Source organism: Homo sapiens, chromosome 8 (assembly GCF_000001405.40).
Source record: "Homo sapiens chromosome 8, GRCh38.p14 Primary Assembly".
NCBI classification, from domain to species: domain Eukaryota; kingdom Metazoa; phylum Chordata; class Mammalia; order Primates; family Hominidae; genus Homo; species Homo sapiens.
The window spans coordinates 126,778,204-126,793,071 of NC_000008.11; the positions used below are offsets into that span (position 1 = coordinate 126,778,204).

The following is a 14,868-nucleotide window of genomic DNA, read 5'->3' on the forward strand; positions in this document are numbered from 1 at the left end:
GTAAAACCCCATCTCTACTAAAAATACAAAAATTATATGGGCATGGTGGTGTATGCCTGTAATCCCAGCTATTCAGGAGGCTGAGGCAGGAGAATTGCTTGAACCCAGGAGGCAGAGGTTGCAGTGAGCTGAGATGGCACCGCTGCACTCCAGCCTGGGTAACAGAGTGAGACTCTATCTCAAAAAAAAGAAGAAACAAAAACAAAATAACAAACACAAAAACATACTTAGGAAAAACGTCCCTCCAAGAATTAATGTAAATTTAAGATCTTTTCAAAGAAGCAAAAATGAAGGAAATGTATCACCAGCAGAATTTGCACCAATACAAACGCTAAGAACAGTTCTTCAGTGCAGAAAGAAGATATGTTATATGGAAGCTCTGAAATGCAAGAATGAATAATAACATCAAAAAGAATAAATGTACAGGTAAATGTAACATAATCTATAAAAATTATTTGATAGAGTTATCAAATAATGAGAACACACAGCTTTAGGAATGTGGACAAAATTTTTTAGTCAGCCACATGTGAAAGAAAACTTCTGCAGCCAATAAACATGTAAAAGTGTTAATCCTCATCAGTAATCAAGTAATGGAAATTGAAACCAAAATGACATGTCACTAAACACTCATTAGAATATTAAAATTAAAAGGGAGACAGTAGCTAATTGTTGGTGAGATTGTGGAACAACAGGATCTCTCATACACAGATTTGGAAGTTAAAGTGTAGAATCATTTTGGAAAACAGTATTGACAGAGCAGAAGCACCGTCATCTTGGACAAACACTGCCACTTTAAGTTCCAGCTCCCTTTGTAGTTTCATGCATTTTAAGAAAATCCTTTCTCCTCTAACTACAAGCAGCCAGAAAGAGCAGACAGTAAAACACAGATAAGACAGCTCGGGCACAGAGGGAGGTTGGGGTAAGTCTCCTGGGTAACTGCCAAACTTCACCCTCATACAATACGCCCCAGTAAAACAGTGGGCCTTAATAAGCACATTCCTTTTTCTTTAGGTGCGCTAAGATAGGGAAGCTAAAAGCAGATTTAGGGGTATGCCTGTAACTGCAGAAAAATGTATGGGAACAAACACACAACTCTCCCTCCCAGATAAGCACAACAGAAAGACACAGAAGCAGTCCAAGCCTCTGATAAACTCTCCCACCCTGTATCCTTAAAAACTCTTAGTCTATAAGAGAGTGGGCCTCTTATCTAACTCGGCCAGAAGCTCCTCTCAAGTTTGTTTTCTCTAAAATAAACCTGTCTTGACTAGTGAGCCACCTTTCATGTTTCTTTCCTCTTTCTTTAATTCTTACAAGTATAACATTATCAAAACTGAAGAGTGTCATGCTTTACGACCCAGCAATTCCATTTCTTTACAAATACCTAATAGAAATGTGAGCACGTGCACAACAGGAGACACATTCAAGAAGGTTCTTAGAAGCAATATTTGTAATACCCTAAACTGAAACAACCCAAATGCCCATCAACAATGACATGATGTGGTCACCATGGCTCATGCCTGTAATCCCAGAGCTTTGGGAGGCTGAGGTAGGAGGATTGCTTGAGGCCAGAAGTTTGAGACCAGCTTTGGCAGCATAGAGAGACCCTATCTCTAAGGAAAGGAAAGAAGAGCAGAGGAGAGGGGAGGAAAAGAGAGGAGAGGAGAGGAGAGGAGAGGAGAGGAGAGGAGAGGAGAAGAGAGGAGAAGAGAGGAGAGGAGAAGAGAAAAAGCCAGGTGTGGTGGTGCTCACCTGTAGTCCTAGTTACTAAGAAGGCTGAGGCCGGAGGATGACTTGAGCCCAGGAGTTGGAGGTTACAGTGAGCTATGATTGCACCACTGCATTCCAACCTAGGTGACAGAGCAAGACCTGAGACCCTGTCTCTAAAAACAAGCAAACAAGCAAACAAACAAACAAAAAAAGATATGATAACAAACCATGACCTAGTTGCACAAGAGAACAGTGTAGATCAGGGATCAGGAAATTACAGCCTGTGGGTCAGATCTGGCCTACTATTTTTGTATACACATTTTATTGAAATACAGCCATGCTTATTTTACATATTGCCTATGGCTAATGGCCCTCAGGTCTGCAAATCCAAAAATGTTTACTGTCTTCTTTACGGGAAAAGTTTTCCAAAATAAACAAACTATGGCTACATTTGTTAACAAGTATGAATGTTACAAATAAACACTTGAGCAAAAGAAGCCAGACCAAAAAAATTACATAAATATTATGCTTTAAACCGTATTTCTGGTCTCCTTTCCCTACTTCTCCCAGAGTTTTTACCATGTTAAAATGTAACCCTGTTCTTCCAGTTTCCCCCTACAAACATCTATGTTTCCACATCCAATTCATCAGAAATCTCATTGTGAACAACATTAAATATCCAGCCCCATGGCTCTACCATTCTGATTGAAGTCATCATCATCTCTCATGAGGATGATGATGTAACAACCTTCTCACTGATGTGTCTCTTTCTGCCCTTGGCCCTGTGCACAGCAGGCAGAGTAATTCTATTAAAAATCAAATTTGCTTATGGTATTCCTCTACTCAAAACTCTTCACTGCCTTTCACTCTTATTCAGTACAAAAGCCAAAAGTTTCACTCTTACTAATGTGGCCTTTCTTTATCTGGCTTTTGATTCCTTGCTGGCCTCATTTCCTACTACTCTCTCTCTGGCCAGGGTCTTCCTGGAACACACAAGTATTCTCCTGTCTCAGGACAACTGCACTTGCTGTTTATTCTGTCTGGGAGACTCTTTGAGGTATCCGGTTGGCTCACTCTCTCAGCTACCTGATGTTTTTACTCAAATATTTCCTTCTTAGTAAGATCTTCTTTTCTCACCCCATTTAAAAGTTCAGTTTCCCTCTTCTGACCCTCACTTTCACTTTATTTATCTCCAAAGTATTTGGCACTTTCTAAAATATTCTCCATAGCTCTATTTTCTTTTGTAGGCTCCACAAAGACAGATATTTTTGTTTGTTTGTCTCTCTTGTTCTCTGTTGTATCCCCAACACTTAGAACAATCAATGGCATAGGGTAACACTCAATATTTATTAAATAAATAGGGAATTAACTGAGAAGTTATTCTGGAATGCTAAAGAAAAAACAAGTGAGAAAACCACAACAGAAATGAATATGAAGGACAAGGAGGGGAGGTCTGCTCTAAAGGTGCAAAAGTTCACGAAGGAAAAAAAAAAACAAAGCAACTGCAACATGGACAAAAGAGACATAATTTTAAAAGACCCTCATAGGAAATTAGATTAGAAGGTAATGACAAAAGTGCTCTTGCTTCTTTGATGAAATCAGTGAAAAAAAGACAGGTGCCAGCAGTATTGATGTACCAGGATAAAGGAAATTTTGACAAGCACTCTCAGCTAAGAAAAAAGGAGAGAAACAAACAAAACAGGTTGCTAACAAAAAGCACAAATCAGTCTGACTCAGACTTCTTCACTATCAAAAGCCAGAATGAAGAGGAGTGACAGCTCATGAGTTTGAAGAGAAGAAGGTTGTGACCCAAAATCTTTACACATGTCCCAGCTATTTCTCATGCATGTGACAACAGAAATATATTCACAGCTCTCCAACAGCTTAGAGACAGGCTACCCATGGATCCTTACTGGAAAAAAAAATTACATGAAGAGATGACTATAAAATAAATTCAAATTTAAAAATATCATGACTAGACACATAACAACATAAACATACCAATATCCTTTGTCTTTATCATCAGGGTAACAATGCCAAAGAATGAAAACAGTCGAGCAGAAAGAGCAAAAGATAGAACATCTGGGTGCGAATCCCAGCTCATTCACTAATTAATGTTGTGACTTTGGACAAACCACTCAAGCTCTTTGAGTCTTAATTTTCTTATTTATTAAGTTAAGAAAGCAATACTTAACTCTCACAAGTTGATTGAACAGAGAAAACTAGATAACGCATGTATGAGGGATTTGTAAATTACTCTAAAAATGTCAGTACTTATTATTATTCCCTAATGGCTTATGCATTTTTCAATTAAATCCTCACAGTGGCTTCCACTTTTCAAGGGATGGGCATATCCACGAACAGGAGAATTGTGGAGCAGTGAAGATAGCTCAGTGTATGCAGAAAACATAAATCTTTTTATTGTGGGTCTCAATTACCACATATCTCTGCAACACAATGACTAGCATCACTTATTTCTATAGAATGCTTAAGAATTGGATCTGGCCGGGCGCAGAGGCTCACGCCTGTAATCCCAGCACTTTGGGAGGCCGAGGCGGGTGGATCACGGGGTCAGGAGATCGAGACCATGGTGAAACCCCGTCTGTACTAAAAATACAAAAAATTAGCCGGGAGCGGTGGCAGGCGCCTGTAGTCCCAGCTACTCAGGAGGCTGAGGCAGGAGAATGGCGTGAACCCGGGAGGCGGAGCTTGCAGTGAGCCAAGATCGGGCCACTTCACTCCAGCCTGGGCGACAGAGCGAGACTCTGTCTCAAAAAAAAAAAAAAAAAAAAAAAAATAATAATAATAATAATAATTGGATCTTACCCTTAAGCCTTTGTGAACTCCTGTATTAACAAGTCAGGTTACTCTTTACTGGAATCTATACCTCCTACCTGGAGCATGCTTATTTATTATTCAGGTTATATGTACTTGCTCTCATCCCGGCTAGGCTGCCTTGATCTTGTGTTCCAGTCTTTCCAGCCTTTGCTCACATCCCTTCTCTGCATGGTCTTTCCTCTTATCTCCAGACACCCATCATTTTTGGTCAGCCTCTTTAAAACCTTTAGCGTAAACTACACAAGCACACTATTTGCAGCTTAATCATATTCTTTACTATCTTGCATTAGAATTTAGTATTGTGTTGGTTACATTTTTCATTAACATTTATACCGGAATTGCAACTAAACTATCACTGATGTCCACAAAAATATGTACACTGATCAGAACAATGTTCATGACATAACATTGAGAAGAAAAAGGAAGTAAAATTATTTGTACCATGTGATCTACACAAAGTAAAAATGCTAGCAAAAGATTAGAAAGAACTGTACTTCAGGTTGACAGCAGTTATGTCTGGGACGTAGGATTAGGACACTGTTTCAGAGAATTGGTTTTATGGTGCTATAGTTCTTGAGCTATTCCAAGTGATCAAATGTTTTAAGAAATTCTACAAGTGAAATCCTCCTCTTTTTTTTTTTTATTATACTTTAAGTTTTAGGGTACATGTGCACATTGTGCAGGTTAGTTACATATGTATACATGTGCCATGCTGGTGCGCTGCACCCACTAACTCGTCATCTAGCCTTAGGTATATCTCCCAATGCTATCCCTCCCCCCTCCCCCCACCCCACCACAGTCCCCAGAGTGTGATATTCCCCTTCATGTGTCCATGTGATCTCATTGTTCAATTCCCACCTATGAGTGAGAATATGCGGTGTTTGGTTTTTTGTTCTTGCGATACCATTTGACCCAGCCATCCCATTACTGGGTATATACCCAAATGACTATAAATCATGCTGCTATAAAGACACATGCACACGTATGTTTATTGCGGCATTATTCACAATAGCAAAGACTTGGAACCAACCCAAATGTCCAACAATGATAGACTGGATTAAGAAAATGTGGCACATATACACCATGGAATACTATGCAGCCATAAAAAATGATGAGTTCATGTCCTTTGTAGGGACATGGATGAAATTGGAAATCCTCCTCTTAAAAATTCATATCACAAGTAAAATTATTAAGTAATGTAGCATCATTCAGCTAAGATAATTGTTTAAATGTATCCTCAAATACAATTCTCTGGAACACATTTTGGAAACTAAACATTCCAAAATTTCCCTAGTGGACATAAACTATTTGAAAAAATATTTTTGTTTAAAGTTTTTTATATTAACAAAGTAACATATCCTCTTTTGAAGCAGTAGAACAATGCAAAGTTGTATTTAAAAATTAATCTTCTCTTCCCTTTCCATTTTATTTCCATTCCTAAGGTAAGAAATATTAGCAAGTTGATGTGCATTAATTCATTTCTTTCCCCACAAAACAAGTATAAATGTACTGATGCACAAATGCTTAGGACTTGAGTTATTTATTTTACAAATAAATTATTTACAAAAGCAAGATTATATTTACACGTTTTGCAAGTTTTTATTCTCATCTAACAAAATTAAATAACTATGCCTCAAAGTCTAACTCAGCCTTTTGATTAGCTGGATAATTTTGCAGAGTAATATGCCACCATTGATTTACTTATTTTTCTACTGATGGATATTTCATTTGCTTCTATTTTGTTTTTAACACAATTAATAATGCATCTTTGCACAACCACATTTACTTAGAAGCAATTTTATTTTTATGGGATCAATTCCAATACATAAAATTCCTGAGTTCAAGGACGTATATTTATTTTGACTTCAGTAGATAATGTCACTAAAATCATTACTTTTTATTTTAGTAGATATCGTCATGAAAATCATTACTTTTCAATATTGTGACAGTCACATTCTCTCTTGGTAAATATGCCCATTTCTCTACATCTTTGCTAGCACGTGATGCTATTATCATTTTTATTTTAGTAGTGTAATGTAGAAAAATTAAAAGCTTGTATTTTCTTAATAATATTGCCACATACATATATCCATAAATTAATAATTCTTTGTTTTTCTTGGTTTTGAACTTGAAAAAACTGTATCCCGTTATAGGTGTTCTTTCACAACTTGATTTTTTTCCACATTGTTTTTAAAATCCATGTTGAAAATCATAGCTATGATTCTCATTTTCACAGCTGAACAGTATTTCACTGTGTGGATATATTTAATTAATTTATCCATCTCCTTTCAATGGACATTTATGCTGCTTCTATTCTTCCTTCTCTTTATTTCTACTAGCATCAAGACTACCATAAAGATTCCTCAGAATATCAATTGATATACATGCTCCATGTCTATACAGCTCCATAATTAGGAGTAAGGTTACTAGTTCATAGGATATACACAATTTCAACTTCATAATTTTATTTAGCAAATTCTTTTCTATTGAATTTTTTGATCCATTTATATATTAGAGGCTTTTATTTTGTCTTCTTTTGTTTTTTTGAGATGGAGTCTTGCTCTGTCTCCCAGGCTGGAGTGCAGTGGCACGATCTCGGCTCACTGCAACCTCTACCTCCTGGGTTCAAGCGATTCTTCTGCCTCAGCCTCCCGAGTAGCTGGGACTACAGGCTCACGCCACCACACCCAGCTAATTTTTTTGTATTTTTAGTAGAGACAGGGTTTCACCATATTGGCCAGGCTGGTCTCAAACTCCTGACCTCGTGATCCGCCCACCTCGGCCTCCCAAAGTGCTGGGATTACAGGTATGAGCCACCGTGCCTGGCCTATATTAGAGTTTTATACAAGTTTTTATTTCCCCAAATTCTTTCCTATACTTGGTGCCATCAGGTTTTAAACATTTCTGAAAAATGTGTTGGTTTCTAATGGTCTATCACTACAGTATCTCATTTTAAATTTTCATTTCCCAGATTTTTAACAGGGTGAGACTGGAAAGAACATCCTTTTATGTTTCTTAGCCTTTCATGTGCCCTCTTCTTGCAATTGTCTATTTAAGGCTTCTGTGAATTTATCAATAAGATATTTGCCATCTTTTACCTACTAATATTCTAGAGAATTATTTGTCTTTTACACCTGTGGAAGATACTGGTTAACAGTTGGGGGTTGTCTTCACTTTGTTTAATAAATTTTGATAGAGTTACTCACTGTTCCAGTTTGTTTGAGACTGAGGGGTTTCTTGGGACACAGGACTATAAACTGCTAAAACGTGAAAAGCCCCAGGCAAACCAGGGCAAGGCGTTCACTTCGTTTTCAATGACTACACATTTTTAATTTTGACAAAATTGAATGTACTAATCTTTGCATTTACGGCTAGTGCTTTTTGTGTTCCAAAAATAATGCTTCATTTCCTGGATCAGAAAAGAACATATTCTTGTAACTTACTGTCAAAGTTTATCTTTCATATTTAAGTCTACAAACATCTAAAATAGAATTTTGTGTATATTGTGATACAAGAATGCAATTTAACACATTTTAAAAGTTTATTTTATTAAGGTATTGTCTACATAAAGTCCATCCATCTTAAGTGAACAGTTTTGTCAATTTGGGGAATTATATACAGCACTGTAACCTCCACCATAACCATGATACAGAACAATTCTCTCACCTTAAAGAAGTTTCATTGTGAGACTTCACTCCCAGCCCTGTGGCAAACGCTGATCTGATTTTCATCCCTTTAGTTTTGCCTTTTTAAAGATTTAATTCTAATGGAAGATAGAGTATGTAGTCTTAGATTTGACTTTTTTCACTTAGCACTGTTTTGAGATTGATCATGGATTTCATTTCTTTTTATTGCTAAGTGGTATTTCATAATATGATATGTCAAATTTGTTTATCTTTACCATTTGATTAGTTGGCACCATTTGAATTTGCTATATTCAGTCTGCATCTATTATGAATAATGCTGCTATGAATATTCACATAAAAGAGTTTGTGTGTGCATACATTTCCATTTCTCTTAGGTAAATACCTAGGATGTATGGTAAGTGCAGGGCTGACCTTTTAACATACTGCTGTACTGTTTACAAAATGGCTGTGCCACCTTTTTTCATACCAGCAATGTCTATACACTCTTTTTGGTTCGTCCAAGAAATATTTTCTTAAGCTAGTGTTAAAATGATTTCTTCCATGTTTTCCTCTCTAAGTGTTAATAGCTTTAGCTTATACGTTTAGGTCCCTGATTCATTTCAAATTTATGTGTATGGTGTGAAGGAATTGTATGATTTTTCTTTTTATTTTTGTACATATACACAGCAGTTTCATCACTGTTTTTGGAAATGCACACTTTCCACTCTTTAAATAACTTGGCACTTAACGTGGAAAATCAATTTTCCATTTAAGTGCAGGTCTATTTCTGAACTTTCCATTGATTTATGGATCTATCTTTACTTCAGTATCTCTCTGTCCTGACTAATGTAGCTTTATATTGCCTTGAAATCAGGTTGTATGAGTTTTAATTTTTTTTCCAAAATTATTTTGGTAAGTGCTGTGGTCTGAATGTTTGTATCCTCCTAAAATTCCTATGTTGAAAGCCTAATCACTAATATGATAGTATTGAGAGGTGGAGCCTTGGGGAGGTGATCTCATTTTGCAGGGGAACCCTCATGAATGGAATTGACATCCTTATAAAAGAGACCCCACAGAGCTGATCATCCCATCCACCATGGGAGGACACAGAGAGAAGGCGCCATTTCTATGAACCAGAAGGCAGCCCTCACCAGACACTGAATTTGCTGATTATCTCCAGAAATGTGAGAAATAAATTTGTTGTTTACAAGCTGCCAGGTTGACAGCATTTTGTTGTGGCAGCCCAAACAGACTAAGACAGCTAGTTTAGATCTCTTCCTTTTCACGTAAATTTTTAAATAAGCTTACCAATGAAAAAAAAAATCTTGTTAGAATTTTGATTGGAATTACCTTGAATCTCTAAATCAATATGTAAAGGACTGCCATCTAGGCAGTGTTGACTATTCCAGTAGTTATCTCTGCATTTGTTTAGGTGCTTATTACTTTTTATTTGCAATGTTTTGAAGCTTTTGTTGTATAAGTATTAGGCATTATTATTAAATTTTCCACTAAGGATTTTTAATACTATTATAAATGAAGTTTAAAATATTTATTTTCTAATCACACATTAGTTGAATATAGAGATGTAATTGTTTTTGTATATTGGTATTGAATTCTGCAATCTTGCTAAAATCATTTATTATTCTAGTATATGTAGATTTTTAAGGCTTTTTTGCATACATGGTTATATAGCTGGAAAATGAGGACTGTTTTGCTTCTATTCTTCCAATCCATGTGGGTTTTATTTCTTTGTGTTGGTGGTGGCATTGGACTTCCAATATAATTTTAAATAGAAGTGGTGAGAGTGGATTGTCTTGCCTTGTTTGTGATCAAACATTGGGCTTAAAGTATGATGTTAAATATTATGATAGTTCTAGGTTTTAAACAGATGTTCTTAAATTGAGTAAGTTGCCTTCTATTTTTAGTTTGCTGAGTGTTTCTGTCATAAAATGGTGTTGAATATTTTTAAATGCTTTTTCCACACCATTGATATAATGATGTGGTTGTTTCCCTTTATTCTATTATTATGATGAAGTACATTGATTTGTTTTCAGATTTTTAATGAATTTTGAATTTCTTGTCAAAAAACTCTTGATCATAGTATCTCTTTTTCTATGTGGTTGGATTTGATTTATTACCTTTTTAAAAGGATTTTTATATTATGTTCTTGAAGAATATCGGTCTACAGTTCTCTTTTAATGGCCTTTGATTTTGAAATCAGAATAATATGGGTCTCACAAAATGAGCTGGGAAATGTTTCCTTCTTCATTGTCTGAAAGAGTTTGTCTGAGATTGGTGTTATCCTCTGAATGTTTGACAGAATTGATCAGTGAAGCCATTTAGTCCTAGAGTTTTTTATGTAGAAGATTTTCAATTTCAGACTCACTTCATTCAGGTTTCTTCATATTTTGATTTCTTTGTCATTTATTCTTAGTAAAGATTTTTTGGTGGCAACTCAGTTTATGTTTTTCTCAATGTCTTTATTTTATCCTCATCCTTCAAATAGAGTTTACATGGGTAAACAATTTTAAGATATGGTCTTCTCTTCTGATTTCTATTGTTTTTATTGAAAATACGCTCATAGTCAAATTTCTATTTCTCTTCCTTTATCATTTGTAAGCTTTTCAAATCTGAGTTTTTATCTCTGTAGCTAAGTATAAAAAATTTACGATTGGATTCTTATTCTGCATCTTTGGCAGGAATATCACAGGAGTAATGCCCTGTTCCTTCTTTTCTTGACTTCTGTTAAGTAATGCCCAATTTCTATTTGTTATTTTACTCTTGATTTGCATTTTGCTTATTTCATTAACATGGTATTATCTTCCTCTCCAGAATAAAGTTTCCTTTATAATTAATATGTATTTTGTGGGGAGTAATTTAGAACTACATAATTATCGCATTCCTCACCAAACTTTCCATATTTTCACTTGCTTATTAATATCTATGTGGATTCATAGCTTCCTATTTTATTCAATGTATGACAATGCGCTACTACCAGTATTTATTTTAATGCTCCAGTTGTCTTTAATTTAGCCAGTGGGCATCCCTTCAAGTTGGCTTCTGTGTCTTTTTGGTACATCCCATCCTTCTTTCTGTCTTTCCTTGCTTTCTGGCATCAAAAGATGTTTCAGGCCCATCGTATTTTTTCATGCTGCAGCTCTAAATCAGCTATTTCTCCAATGAACCCTCATTTTTTTTTTTAATTTTTATTTTTAAGTTCTGGGGTACATGTGCAGGATGTGCAGGTATGTTATGTAGGGATACGTGTACCATGGTGATTTGCTGCGACTATCAACCCATCACCTAGGTATTAAGCCCAGCATGCGTTAGCTATTTTTCCTAATGCTCTCCCTCCCCTGCCCCTGCCCTGCCAGGTCCCAGTGTGTGCTGTTCCCCTCCCTGTGTCCATGTGTTCTCATTCTCTACAGTGGAGAATGTTATTTAGAAGTCCTGCTCTGGGCCCTTTCACGTGTGCTCATTACTACTGGAGTGTCATTAGACCCAGGATTTCCCAGTAGACAGAACAAGGGAATAATATGTGTGTATCCACAGGCTCACATATATGTATAAATACATATACACATTTAAATCTATATTTACTTTTCTATCTATACATACTAAAAATTGTAAATATTCTGTAGGCAGAATAATGGCTCTCCAAAGATGCCCATATTCTAATTCCTAAAACCTGTAAACATGTTAGTTACCTTATGTGGCAAAAGAGACTTCAGGTAGTAGCTGGAATTAAGCTTGCTAATCAGCTGCTCTTAATAATAGGAAGTTTTGCTGGGCGCGGTGGCTCATGCCTGTAATCCCAGCACTTTGGGAGGCCGAGGCAGGTGGATCATGAGGTCAGGAGATCGAGACCATCCTGGCTAACACGGTGAAACCCCATCTCTACTAAAAAATACAAAAAAATTAGCTGGGCGTGGTGGCAGGCATCTGTAATCCCAGCTACTGAGGAGGCTGAGGCAGGAGAATGGTGTGAACCCAGGAGGTGGAGCTTGCAGTGAGCCGAGATTGCACCACTGCACTCCAGCCTGGGCGACAGAGCAAGACTCTATCTCAAAAAAAAACAAAAAACAAAAAAAAAAGAAGTTTTTTTCCAGAATTATACAGGTACATCCAATGGAATCACAAGGGACCTTAAAAGTGAAAAAGGAAGGTAGTGATGCAATGTGAGCATGCCTCACCTGTCATTGCTGGCTTTGAAGATGGAGGAAGAGGGCACAATCTAAGGCACCCAGGCAGCCTCTAGAAGCTGAAAAAGGCATGGGAAAAAAATGACATCTTGCGTTTCATAAAGAAATGCACCCCTGCCAACACCTTGATTTTAGCCCAGTAAGACCTATGTTAGATTTCTAACTTTCAGAACTGTAAAATAATAAATTTGTATTGTAAATCATAAAGTGTGTGATAATTTGTTAAGGCAGCAATAGAAAAATAACACAACATTGATGTTTTAATTCCAATTCCATAGCCCATAGTCTATTCCAATTTTCTCCTGTTTTGTATTTATAACTACTCTTTCCAACAGTAAGAATTCTGTTTCTTATTGTTTTTAATAAACTTATTTCATCAATCTCTGGGTATGTAAACAATCTCCCATCCCCACCTCCACCTACCTGTAAGCGTAGATTTCCTCTACGCTCAAGTTCCAACATTGAGTCACCTTCATGCAAAGATGGCTGAATCCTGCTCAGTCTCTGACACCACATGCTGGACTGCCCCTTAATGGGCATATCTTCCTCACTCTGCTTGGGTTTTCCTTACCAATATCGAGTTCCCTTTCCCCCTGCATGAATGCCTTCTCACCCTGCTTAGTTCTAACATTCTGTGCAACTATTTCTCACTCCCTCAATCTACTGTCTACCTTGGTTTGTCCCAACTGATGGCTTTTCAGCTACATTATTCAGAAAAGGTAAGTTAAAGAAAAGGAAAGCAGGAGAGAGAGAAAAAGGAAAGCATAAGGGAGAGAAAGAGAGGCTCTTTTTTATATTTTCTGGACAGCAGATGTTTCACTTATTTTATATTTTCTTCACTCTGTGTTGCATTTTCTGTAATTTCCTTGACTTTATGTTCCAGTTTTCTAACACTTTCTTTAACCATGTCTCTCATTTTTTAAATTGGTTTTTGTTTTGTTTTCTTTTAGTTTGCATTTCCCCAATAACCAGTGGAGTTAAGGATAGTTTATTATTTTTTAACACTTACTGGAATTTTCTCTTCTTAATTGCTTAGTCAATATTTACTGCTCAAATTTCTATTGAGTATAAAACATTCTAACAATGGTTATCTCTGAATGATTGCACTATGGTTGGTTTTATTCTCTTATTTATAACAATCTGTGTTTTCTAAACATTATTTTATACTTGCATTCACCATCAGAAAATTACTAAATTTCAAAATAAAATAATTAAAAGTAGTTCTGTGACTTATTTCATACTTTCTTTTATGACAAAAACAGAATGACAAATGTTGAAAAATGAGAAAGGATGGGATTTATTCTCTATCTCCTAAATAACTGCATCACCCCTATAAGCTTCCATTTTCCTTCTTCAAAGCCAGTAATATAATTTTATTACTGAGTTTTGAATAATAATTAAAGCCTTTAAAATGTTCTATATCCAGAGATGGATGATGTTTGATTTTCATGAGGTCTTCTGGGAATGTTACTGCCAGATTGCCAATGAAATGTCGGCCTTTTCATGAAAGGTATCACATTACTTAATGGATTCAACCTCTTGTCCCTGGCATTCAATAGATTAATTTTGTTTTTATTGGTTTCTGACCAACACCATCCTCAATACTTGAAGTTACACACTGCCCATAAAGGATTAATTTTACACAAGAATATCACCAAGATTAAAAAATGGGGTGGGTGGGGAAACAAAAAGGAAGTAAGATATAGAGCTCCAGCTGAAGTGATCAATAGTAATCTACATTTCACTTGTTTTTCTTCTCACTTCTCTCACTGTCCTGTCATCTCTGCATATCTCTTTTTGCAAATTATAGCATTGTTTTGGTTTACAGGCAACTCAAATTTTGAAGGTGATTTTAGCTAAAAAAAAAAAAAAAAAAAAAAAAAGAAAAGAGAAGCCACATGGGGACCATGTACTATGCACTATGCTGTTGAGAAGTCAAGGACAGATTCTAGAAAACAAGAGGTAGAATGGGGAAAGGGAGGAGCTGGGGGTCGGCATTAGGCACACCTGAATCCCAGCTCCACTGCATCCTGCCTCCATTACCTTGGGGCACTTATTTAATCTTTGACCAGAGTTTCCTCATCTATAAAGTGGTGACTAAAATTAACTGATTAATTCTTCATTAATTCAGTAAGTATTGCTTGAGTGCCTACTATGTGTCAGTAACATGAGCTATTCAAAATATTGAATCAGAAGAAAATGGCACATTCCAGGAAGTCAATAAACGCTAATTTCCTCCCTTTATATAAGAAACTATGTACAGAGGACATTGAATTATAATTTTCAGTTCCCTGATGATAACTTTAAACTGAAGTTATTCCATTATTGATCCATTAAGTTGAGTCTTTATGGTGAAAAGCAATATCTTATTACGTGGAAATTGACTTGTAAGTTTAGTAAGTAATAACATTCACAGCCTCGAAAATCCCGGGAGAGAAACGATGCAGAATGTAATTGAGATGTTCTCTGTCAATTTATTTGGTGGCCATTGAGAG

At 36.2% G+C, this 14,868-nt stretch overlaps 2 long non-coding RNA genes across 6 annotated transcripts in view; one reads left to right on the plus strand and one right to left on the minus strand.

The window, feature by feature from the left end:
- LOC105375751 (uncharacterized) overlaps window positions 1–14,868 on the plus strand; it is a 463,156-nt gene that overhangs the window by 220,328 nt on the left and 227,960 nt on the right. The window lies entirely within an intron of this gene.
- LOC105375753 (uncharacterized) overlaps window positions 1–14,868 on the minus strand; it is an 80,166-nt gene that overhangs the window by 11,409 nt on the left and 53,889 nt on the right. The gene's annotated exons all lie outside the window — the stretch shown is intronic.